Source organism: Homo sapiens, chromosome 13, assembly GCF_000001405.40.
Source record: "Homo sapiens chromosome 13, GRCh38.p14 Primary Assembly".
Classification (NCBI taxonomy): Eukaryota; Metazoa; Chordata; class Mammalia; order Primates; family Hominidae; genus Homo; species Homo sapiens.
The window spans coordinates 101,301,735-101,314,056 of record NC_000013.11 but is presented as its reverse complement, the minus strand read 5'-3'; the positions used below and the strand labels follow the sequence as shown (position 1 = coordinate 101,314,056).

The 12,322-nt window shown below is 39.0% G+C and overlaps 1 protein-coding gene across 10 annotated transcripts in view; it reads left to right on the top strand.

Annotated features, from left to right (window-relative positions):
- NALCN (sodium leak channel, non-selective) overlaps positions 1-12,322 on the top strand; it is a 363,404-nt gene that overhangs the window by 103,123 nt on the left and 247,959 nt on the right. Inside the window, exon 1 of one of the 10 annotated variants that reach the window (XM_017020537.2) lies at positions 9,901-10,029. The exons of the other annotated variants lie outside the window; for them this stretch is intronic. Coding sequence (XP_016876026.1) covers positions 9,996-10,029 — 34 coding nt within the window. The 5' untranslated portion in view covers positions 9,901-9,995. Of the gene's footprint in view, positions 1-9,900; positions 10,030-12,322 lie in introns of those variants that run through there. 10 annotated transcript variants of the gene reach the window in all.

Genomic DNA, 12,322 nt, shown 5'->3' with positions numbered 1-12,322 from the left:
GCGATAGTTTGCTGAGAATGATGGTTTCCAGCTTCATCCATGTCCCTACAAAGGACATGAACTCTTCATTTTTTATGGCTGCATAGTATTCCATGGTGTATATGTGCCACATTTTCCTAATCCAGTCTCTCGTTGTTGGACATTTGGGTTGGTTCCAAGTCTTTGCTATTGTGAATAGTGCCACAATAAACATACATGTGCATGTGTCTTTATAGCAGCATGATTTATAATCCTTTGGGTATATACCCAGTAATGGGATGGCTGGGTCAAATGGTATTTCTAGTTCTAGATCCCTGAGGAATCGCCACACCAACTTCCACAAGGGTTGAACTAGTTTATAGTCCTACCAACAGTGTAAAAGTGTTCCTGTTTCTCCACATCCTCTCCAGCACCTGTTCTTTCCTGACATTTTAATGATTGGTGTGAGATGGTATCTCATTGTGGTTTTGATTTGCAGTTCTCTGATGGCCAGTGATGATGAGCATTTTTTCATGTGTTTTTTGGCTGCATAAATGTCTTCTTTTGAGAAGTGTCTGTTCATATCCTTCACCCACTTTTTGATGGGGTTGTTTGTTTTTTTCTTGTAAATTTGTTTGAGTTCATTGTAGATTCTGGATATTAGCCGTTTGTCAGATGAAAAATTTTCTCCCATTTTATAGGTTCCCTATTCACTCTGATGACGGTTTCTTTTGCTGTGCAGAAGCTCTTTAGTTTAATTAAATCCCATTTGTCAATTTTGGCTTTTGTTGCCATTGCTTTTGGTGTTTTAGACATGAAGTCTTTGCCCATGCCTATGTCCTGAATGGTATTGCCTAGGTTTTCCTCTAGGGTTTTTATGGTTTTAGGTCTAACACGTAAGTCTTTAATCCATCTTGAATTAATTTTTGTATAAGGTGTAAGGAAGGGATCCAGTTTCAGCTTTCTACATATGGCTAGCCAGTTTTCCCAGCACCATTTATTAAATAGGGAATCCTTTCCCCATTTCTTGTTTTTGTCAGGTTTGTCAAAGAACAGATGGTTGTAGATATGTGGCATTATTTCTGAGGGCTCTGTTCTGTTCCATTGATCTATATCTCTGTTTTGGTACCAGTACCATGCTGTTTTGGTTACTGTAGCCTTGTAGTATAGTTTGAAGTCAGGTAGCTTGATGCCTGCAGCTTTGCTCTTTTGGCTTAGGATTGACTTGGTGATGCGGGCTCTTTTTTGGTTCCATATGAACTTTAAAGTAGTTTTTTCCAGTTCTGTGAAGAAAGTCATTGGTAGCTTGACCACATAGTTGGAAGTAAAGCACTCCTCAGCAAATGTAAAAGAACAGAAATTATAACAAACTGTCTCTCAGACCACAGTGCAATCAAACTAGAACTCAGGATTAAGAAACTCACTCAAAACCGCTCAACTACATGGAAACTGAACAACCTGCTCCTGAATGAATACTGGGTACATAATGAAATGAAGGCAGAAATAAAGATGTTCTTTGAAACCAACGAGAACAAAGACACAACATACCAGAATCTCTGGGACACATTCAAAGCAGTGTGTAGAGGGAAATTTATAGCACTAAATGCCCACAAGAGAAAGCAGGAAAGATCCAAAATTGACACCCTAACATCACAATTAAAAGAACTAGAAAAGCAAGAGCAAACACATTCAAAAGCTAGCAGAAGGCAAGAAATAGCTAAAATCAGAGCAGAACTGAAGGAAATAGAGACACAAAAAACCTTTCAAAAAATTAATGAATCCAGGAGCTGGTTTTTTGAAAAGATCAACAAAATTGATAGACCTCTAACAAGACTAATAAAGAAGAAAAGAGAGAAGAATCAAATAGACGCAATAAAAAATGATAAAGGGGATATCACCACCGATCCCACAGAAATGCAAACTACCATCAGAGAATATTACAAACACCTCTACGCAAATAAACTAGAAAATCTAGAAGAAATGGATAAATTCCTCGACACGTACACCCTCCCAAGACTAAACCAGGAAGAAGTTGAATCTCTGAATAGACCAATAACAGGCTCTGAAATTGTGGCAATAATCAATAGCTTACCAACCAAAAAAAGTCCGGGACCAGATGGATTCACAGCCGAATTCTACCAGAGGTACAAGGAGGAACTGGTACCATTCCTTCTGAAACTATTCCAATCAATAGAAAAAGAGGGAATCCTCCCTAACTCATTTTATGAGGCCAGCATCATCCTGATACCAAAGCCGGGCAGAGACACAACCAAAAAAGAGAATTTTAGACCAATATCTTTGATGAACATTGATGCAAAAATCCTCAATAAAATACTGGCAAACCGAATCCAGCAGCACATCAAAAAGCTTATCCACCATGATCAGGTGGGCTTCATCCCTGGGATGCAAGGCTGGTTCAACATACGCAAATCAATAAATGTAATCCAGCATATAAACAGAACCAAAGACAAAAACCACATGATTATCTCAATACATGCAGAAAAGGCCTTTGACAAAATTCAACAGCCCTTCATGCTAAAAACTCTCAATAAATTAGGTATTGATGGGACGTATCTCAAAATAATAAGAGCTATCTATGACAAACCCACAGCCAATATCATACTGAATGGGCAAAAATGGAAGCATTCCCTTTGAAAACTGGCACAAGACAGGGATGCCCTCTCTCACCACTCCTATTCAACATAATGTTGGAAGTCCTGGCCAGGGCAATTAGGCAGGAGAAGGAAATAAAGGGTATTCAATTAGGAAAAGAGGAAGTCAAATTGTCCCTGTTTGCAGATGACATGATTATATATCTAGAAAACCCCATTGTCTCAGCCCAAAATCTCCTTAAGCTGATAAGCAACTTCAGCAAAGTCTCAGGATACAAAATCAATGTGCAAAAATCACAAGCATTCTTATACACCAATAACAGACAAACAGAGAGCCAAATCATGAGTGAACTCCCATTCACAGTTGCTTCAAAGAGAATAAAATACCTAGCAATCCAACTTACGAGGGATGTGAAGGACCTCTTCAAGGAGAACTACAAACCACTGCTCAATGAAATAAAAGAGGATACAAACAAATGGAAGAACATTCCATGCTCATGGGTAGGAAGAATCAATATCGTGAAAATGGCCACACTGCCCATGGTAATTTACAGATTCAGTGCCATCCCCATCAAGAGATTTTTTTACACATTCCATATGTGAATATCCTATTTTCTGATTCAGTTCTGACTTTATTTCCATTATATGTGAATGTGTTTCTTTACTATTTTTCTATCAGTTTCCTTCCTGGTCAATTGATTATATGGGAAAATATTTTATCCATTCAATATTCAAAAATAGTTTATTGAGGACCCACTATGTGCTAGGCATTTGATCACAACAGTGAAAAACAGAGAAAAAATCCTTGCTTTCATGGAGTTGACAAATTCTACCAAAGGAAACAGGAAATAATGAAAATAAGTAAGTAAAATAAATAGCATGCTACGTAGTAATAAGTGTCAAGGAGAAAAGGAAAGCAGACAAAGAGAGGGGAAGGTGTGAGCAGGAATTGCAGTTTCAGATAAGGTGGCCATGAAGGTGTCCCTTCAAGGAAAATGTAGTAGTTGGGAAGGGGCAAGTCACATGGCTCTCTGGGGAAGAGTGTGCAGGGCATCGGGAACAGCCCTTGCAAAGGCCTTGAGAAGGAAGCATGCCCCATGCTCTCCTCCTCATATGAGGAGGCCAACAGGTCTTGAATGAAGCTATGGAGAAAGAGAAAGGGAATACGATTGGAAAGGTAACAAGGAATGGATCACGTAGAGCCTTCCAGGGCAACGTAATGACCTTGGCTATTCCTTTTAAATGAGATGGAAAGCCCGTGGAGCATTTTGAGTAGAGGCGAGACAAAACTGATCAGGACAACTCTGCTTGCTGGGCAGAGAATAGAATCAAGGGAAGCAATGACAGAAGAGACTGTCCTAAGAGTCCAGGCGAGAGATGGCAGTGGCTTGGACAAAGGTGGTAGCAGTGGAGGTCACAGAAGATGCTGAATATAGTGTTCATGTTTACTTTATGGGATTTACTAAGAGATTGGCTGTGTGTTAAAAGGAAAAGATCATTCTAAAGCTTCTGGCCTCAGTGATTAGATAGACTTGCCATTAACTTCCAGAAGAGCATGTTTGAGGGGAAATATGAGGATCTCGGTTTCATTACATGTTAAGTTCCAGTAATGTGATTAGATTGAAAATGCTATAGCTGGTAGAATTTTTTCACTTTTTATGTCAAAACAGAAAACATGATTGAATAATGAAAACTACACATGCTCAATTTTTTTAAAATTGTTTTCTTTGACACAGTAAAGGATCAATGAGACTTGCTTAATTCTTGTCAAGAATACAAAGTCAACAATGGCTGAGATGAAAATATTTTCCATAAAGTAAAATGATCAAATTTGCAAAAGCTTGGTTACATGATGTGAATTTCACTCAAACCACAAGGCATTACACTAGAGTCTTGCTGAAATTTAAGACAGACTGTCTTAGGAATTATTTGCCAATAGACAAAATGAATATGGGGTGGTTGATGTGCTGAAGTGGCCAATGAGCATGCTTTGATTGACAGATGAGGAAATGTATCCCTACATTTTATCAAACTATGTGGTGTCTGATTTATATCACTGAGGTGGCCATTCATTATGGTCATGAACTGTGAGGTCAAAGCACTTGCAAAAACTTGCCAAAATACTTCCTATTCCAGTACTAAATATTTCTCATATTTGTTTGCCTAGAATAACAAGATGCAGGCTTGGTAGTCCTTTCAAGAATGTGAATTTCTTTGGTATGTCTGAGTTTAGTAATGTTGAATTGTGTGTGTGTGTGTATTATTCTTAAGACTTTGCCTGTATTTTAACATTTTATTTGGTAAAAATAGCATTATTTTGGCAAGATTTTTAAAGCCTTGAAATGGGACAAATTAAAGTATAATGCTTTTTCTTGAGAAATAATTTATTGCTCCATGTTGTTGAATCATACCATTAGTCATGAAACCAAAACCCTATATTTAAAAAGTAACAATCTCATATTCAAAGTATCTCCTTTGAACATTTCAAAGAATCTTAAGCAAATCTTTATGTGACATTAAATTGTACATTTTACCTTGTTATTTTAGATCTATGGGTGGAGTTCATTCTTCGGGCTAAGTGTAGGTATGAAGTGTGAATTTCTGTGTCTTGGTATGCCAGTAACTTAGGGCAAGGTTAGTAGAGTGGCTTTTGTGAGAAAAAAAGAGCTGTTTTATCAGACATCAGTTGGAACTTTGCCTTGTTTTGTTTCCCTGAACCGTCCAATCTGCTTCATATACTTGTGTGAAATCCTAAAATGTCTGTATGTCAATAATTTTTAGTTAGCATATTTTTTCCAAACAGACATCCTTGTGAACATCAGCCGTTTCTGAGAACTGGGCCCACGGACCATAGCTACTTTGAGTCTCAGTCTATGTAATAGTTGGGGTAAAGTAAGCTTTAAAGAGAGAACTCACAACACAATGGCTCAAGCAAGACACAAGTTGATTTCTTTCTGAAGCTGCCATCCTGGGTATGTGGGTATTTGGATGAGCTGGGCCCCATGAAGTCATCCCAAAGTGCAGGCCTCTGTGGCATCTCTGCCAAACTCAACACTTACTCTCCAAGTCTGTCCTTGGCTTCTCTATTTCTAGCTGGTGGAAGGGAAGGGAAAAATGAGTCCAGGGAAGGAGTTTTTGTAGATGGCTTGGGAGTTGCATACATCAGGAAGAACTTTGTCACAAGGCCACAACTCCTTGCAGGAAATTCTAGGAAACATATTCCCTCACTGAGCAGCCATGCGCCCAGGAAGAAGAGAAGAATGAGTCTAGAGTCGCAAGCAGCAATATCTACTACAGGCTTAAATAACCAAAGGACAAAATGCCCAGTCCATTATAAATATATTCCAAAAATGAAGCCATGAAATTTGACTTCATTTATTGAAGTCAAAACAAATTTATTGTTATAAACTAATTTCTCTATTTTATATTTCTCAAATGATTACATTTTTAACACAGAACAAAGCCATAGTTAGAATTTCAGTAATCGTATGGAATATCCAAAAGGTACACCCAATACACCCAAAAGCTAAACCAGAGTCACTGCTAAATTTTATATTGTTCTGATTTACCTAACAGATTAGTGAAAATAATTAAAATCTTGCTGCTTTTTAAATTTTAAATATCGGATTTTGGTTAGAACTCTAAGAATATTTAAAACTATCTTTACCTACTCTTGTTGGACAATCATTTGAGGAGCTAAGAGTGCAGAGAAGGCAGAGAAATGTTCTCCTCAACCCAAGCAAAAGCACAGAAGAACTATTGCTAATCCAAAATGCAGGAAGGAAATTTCACCCCTCCTCCCTTCCCTTTTCTTGGGCTAGTCTGTTTAACTTTAAAAGCAGAATTTTTGCTCTCACAAAGTATACCAGACAGGAATTTGTTCAAATTCCTCAAAACCAAGCCAAGAAAAGTTTCAGAAAGTTCAGACATGCATGGCAGAGTGGAAAGAACATAGTCTGTGGAGGCGAGCACGGATTCATTGGAATGCCGCTCCAGACATCCACTCTGGGTGAACTCAGGGATGTGTTTAGTCTCATTAAGCCACAGTCTTTTCATTTTTAATGTAAGAGTGATAAGAACGACTTGCCAGTGTGTTGGTGGAGAACTGAAATAGAGAAAGGCCTGGTGTGTAACAGGATGTTTCTCTCCATCTGTGTAATCTGTGACAGTCCTAGGAAGTTCAAAGTTATGACTGTTCTGGGTTTGTGGCCAACAGTTGTCTGTGGCTTCCATGGGTTGGAGCTGTCTAATGGGGCCCAGACCACCATCGCTCTGCTCAGAAGCTAATCATACCAAAACATGAGGTTTTTCTCCAAGCGACAAAGAGGGGCTAAGCACCCAAGGATCTCCATAATAGTAGCAGGAAAATGAAGCTGAGACCTTACCCTGACTTAGAAGTTCATAACAATAATGGCCCCAAACAAGATGCTCATGTCTATTGGTTGTGGTTAATAATCATGCAACAACATGAACTTCAAACCCAGCCTATGCTTGGCTCTTCCAGGGACTGAAGGCATCTCAGAGCCCCACCCCTTACCTCAGAAACCGCAGGAAGGAGCCTGGGTTCTCAGAGTCCAAGAAAATGCACCTGATAATAGCACCTGAACTTCCTCCACACAAAGAAAGCCTGATAGGGACAGGGGATTAAGCTTGCATGGAGGGCAGGATCCAACCCACAGTAGCACTTCCTTGCCATGCGACCTTAGCAAATGGCTTAACTCGCTTTCTGTATCAGTAAAATGGTGTTTGTAGTACTAAGGTGTCAGTGAGGATTAAATGAGCCAAGCCTGACCCACAGCAATTCATGACAAGTCTCAGCCACTTTAATGAATGTGATGATATTCTAACGTTTGGGATGCTGAGGTGGAGGACGATGGTGTCCCACCTCCTGCAAATGCCATGTGAACACTGAAGCTACACAAGCAATGGCTCTAAAGTCAAAGCCAGCATCAGGACTGGTATAAAAGAATCACCAGGACAAGGGCAGGGCAGAGGGGAGGCCAAAGCAGCTTTGTCAGTGCCTGCACGGCTGGACCTAGAGGAATTTCTCGACATAGAGGGTAAAACAACCCATTGGCCCACATTTCTGAGGACCGACGTGGGAGAAGGGTCACATGAGGCCATGAAATGGGCATCTGCAGAGGAAATGGAAGCCAGTGTCTGGAGACAAGTGGAGCCATTGAGCTAGCAATGCGTGATAGATACTGTGGGAAGGGATGTGGGGAATGCAGCACCTCTCAAGGGAGGTGGCTGAGTCTGGCAATGAGGGCCTGGGGCATCCTTAGTCAGCAAAGCAGGTCTGCAGCCTCGGGAGCTCTGGCAGCTGGTGTGGGTCACCAACTGGCCTCGGGCACCATTCATGGAAATTAATCTGGATAGTCCCCTCCTGGAGACCCTCCAGGATGGCAGATGAGCAGACTGGCCGGCTTTCAAAGTCTGCTGACCTCTATAATTGTGGCTCTTCACATGGTCCAACACACTCTTCCCTTTTACATGTGTTTCCTCTTTGAATATTTCCACCAGCCCCTCTCCCTGACCTCTCTCTGCTTTGTTACTTTCCTTTGCCCATTTAATCTACATTTTATGTTTTGTCCAGATTAACATACCTGTGTTTCATCTGCCAGGCACTGGCCCAGGCCCTAGGAATATGGTGGTGACCAACACAGAGTGGCTGCTTTCATGGAGTTTACAATCTACAAAGGGACAAAAAGGATAAACAACTTTAAACTTTAAAATTTGGACAAACTTTTATAAATACTGCATTTTTCCAATAAAATGAGATAAACAATGGTATAACCTACATTGTACAGAATCTGTGTCTCCCTAAAATTAAAGCTTTGAGATAAAAGGAGACAAGAGGTATTGTTGGACTTGAATTTGTCGTGCAAATAAGATTAAAACCTTGAATATTAGCCTTTTGATTGTTGTCTCTTTTTGCAGTATGAGGTAGTTGTGAATTCTAGGTCAAAACATAAGGGTTAAAAGGCTGGAAAAATTAAATAGGCCAAATGAAAGAATTGTCTTGCTAAAATGTCTATGTAGATGATAAAATGTCCTTGTGCCTCTTTAACTTCAATGATTTGTGCTGGATATTTTATAAGCGTCCATTAGGCAATAGCAAATTTATTCAACTATAAGAGAATTACGAAACACAACTATCATAGGAGATACTTATTTCCTTCCAACCAATAAGTAACCACCAGTGATGAGAAGGCAGAAAGTGACAAGATTAACCAAGTAAGAGAGTTGGATACAACATTCAACTCCATTTCTTCATGTCCCAATAAGAGACAACGTTTGACCTGCCCTCTCATTCCTAATCTTGTTGAATGAATCTAGTACAGAGGTTCATAAAAACCGTCAGGTATATAATGCCGGATTTTGTCAACAAACAATAACAATAATTTTTTCTTTAAAAATTATTCCAGGCCAGGCCGGGTGCGGTGGCTCATGCCTGTAATCCCAGCACTTTGGGAGGCTGAGGCGGGCGGATCACGAGGTCAGGAGATCAAGACCAGTCTGGCCAACATGGTGAAACCCCCATCTCTACTAAAAATACAAAAATCAGCTGGGCGTGGTGGCAGGGACCTGTAGTCGCAGCTACTCGGGAGGCTGAGGCAGGAGAATCACTTTAACACGGGAGGCGGAGATTGCAGCGAGCTGAGATCCAGCCACCGCACCCTAGCCTGGCAACAGAGCAAGATTCCGTCTCAAAAAAAAAAAAAAAAGAAAAGAAAAAAATTATTCCAGGCCAGGTGTGGTGGCTCACACCTGTAATCCCAACACTTTAGGTGGCCAAGGTGGGTGGACCGCTTGAGCTCAGGACTTCAAGGCCAGCCTGAGCAACATGGCGAAACCTGGTCTCTACAAGAAATACAAAAATTAACCAGGCGTGGTAGTGAGTGCCTGTAGTCCCAGCTCCTCATCCGCCTGTAATCCCAGGCGGAGATTGAAGTGAGCCGAGATGGCACCACTGCATTCCATCCTGGGTGACAGAGCCAAACCCTGTCTCAAAAAATAACAAAATACACACCAGGGCCTGTCAGGGGGTGGGAGGGAAGGGGAGGGAGAGCATGAGGACAAATACCTAGTGCATGTGGGGCTTAAAACCTAGATGATGGGTCAATAGGTGCAGCAAACCATCATGCCACATGCATACCTATGTAACAAACCTGCACATTCTGCACATGTATCCCAGAACTTAAATTTAAAAATAAAATAAAAATAATAACATAATAAAATAACAAAAAAGTCTTTACATCTGAAATAAGTGTACTTAAAATTAAAAATAAAATTAAAGTACAAAAACTTAAAATAAAAATCATTTTAGATATTTCCTCAGATTTAAATGGAGGTCATTGAAGCTCAAACACCTGGCTGCAAAGTGATTTGTAAGACGAACACCTACACTCTACAAAAAGACTTATGAATACCCTGCATTGGTTGATGAACAAGAACAGTGAGTTATACCTTCTGAATAGTGAATTAAATAAAATACTATTAAAGTTTTAAATAATTGCCAATTGCTCCATATTTCTCTGCATGTTAGAGTTTAGCTAGTGTTTCCAGGGATGATTTTTCTGTATTCCTCCCAGTCAGGAATAGCCAGTCAGTATTACTCCATCAGCCACAGCACAAATGTCTGATTGCTCTCTTGAGGTCGTTAGCCCAGATACTTGCTAGAAAGGTATGATTGCTGGCCAAATGAGCTCTGGCCTGGTGCAGCCGTCTTGCCAATGTGCCTAATGAGAGCGCGGAAAGACATTTTATTCCAGGCATAAGCAGGCCAGATCACAGCTGCCCAAAGCTCTCTGGCTTTGATTAAGTTTGTTGTGCTATTATGTAATGGGTACTTGAACCATATTCCGTGAATGACCGTTTTCCTTCCTCTTTCGCCACTATTCTAAGTATGTTGTCTGTATCTAATGTTGCCTTGCAGTTAGTTGTTAAAATCAAGCAGAAAAGAAAACAGGCAAATATTAAAACGTAAATAGAAAAAGTTGTTGGTGGGGAAAATGACTTATAATGCATTATTCTGACATAATGTCTTGGGGTCCACCAGGAGAATCGCCCCATCACAATTCAGCCTCTCTCTGTGCTAATGACGGCCTTTTCATCCTGTGCTGTTAGTGATGCATAAGCCAAATTGTGACCAGGCAGACTAGACCACATGTAAGCAGAGAACCACGTCTTTGTAGACATTAATTTAAAACTCGTTCTAATCAAATATGTTCATTTATCTGTACTATTTTTGATCTATATCTTAAATCAAAACGAAGCTTTTTTGACTTCTGGTTTCTGTTTCTGCTTGTAAAGAGCTTGGAAGTTATCAATCCTGTCTTCATAACAAGAAAAATGCTGAGCACACTGAAAGTCAGTAACTGGAAATCAACAGTGTTTTAAAAGTTAATTGGTTACAATTTTCTCATATTCTTCTCTCACCTCTGTAGAGTTCTGGTCTACATTGGAAATGCTGGAAAAGTAGGAATATACAGTACAGAGCTTTCTTGGCAGCATAACTTAATACATGAAAAATGATTTTTAATTTTAGTTTAACCTTTAAACTGGAATCTGTAGCACATTGGAAAAAAAAAACCTAAACCAGTTGAACAAATTTCAATTTTAAACATGTTTTCAGGCTTTGGAAGCTTACTGAAGAATGTGGATAGCAAATACAGGAAAAATTCTGTGAATATTTTTATTCACATATGTAAACGTGAAGTTATAAGACAGAACAATTTCCCCATGTACAAGCTTCAAATTTTTAGCAGTTAGTTAACATTTTCTATTCAGTTTTAACCATTAAGTTGTAATATTATTACAAATGATATTAGAACACATCTTTGCTTTTAGTGCTGTATTATAAATATTTAAATTAATGACATTCAGTGTAAATTTGGTATTTATCGTAATACAAATAAGAACTTTATTTTTAGTTAATTCCATGTGTTATTTGTATTTCTTATCTCACATTTATTTAAAATTACATTTGGTCCCTATCACTCAGGTATGTTTCTTCCCTCCCACGTAGACCTAATCGGATTTTTTAAAATTGGATTTTAATCTGCCTTTATAAACAAACGTCAATTATTTATTTCCAATCTTGGTTGATCTTTTTATTCCGAGATTATTTACTAGTTCATTCAGCCTTCCTATTAAAAATAAATAAATAAATAAATAATTGCTCTTGTAGCTCTTCTGAGGTAGACTGACCAGGTCTACCTTATTGTTAATTTTTGCATTTTCATTTTTATTGAATATGTATGATGATGCAGATATGAACCATGTGCATATCTCAGAATAGGAGGAAAAATATCTTAGTACTTTTGCCAAATGCTTGGTTCTAATTTTTGGACTATTATGAATTTTTTATGTCATAACTATTATCTTAACATTATGCGAACTTCTAGCCCTTTTGCTTCAATTTCCTTTGAAAAGATTTCCTTCCAATAAATCTTTAAAATATGGGTGACAAAACTAAAAGACCCTCAGAGGAAACATATTTCTGGTATGACATATTTTGTGTACTCTTTAGGACAATTGAAAAGCTTCTAATTAACATTTCTTTAGCGCCTTAGTGGTGATCAGCAGTATCATCACTGCCCTAGTGCATCCATGGAAGTTGAGGTCCAGGGTGTACTGACTCACACAGGTTACCTAGGTAAGAAGTAATGGATGACTGGAATGTTAGGAACTGTAAATGACAGCTAACTGTGGCAAAGCGTAGGGTTTTGTTTTTTTTTTTCTTGTCT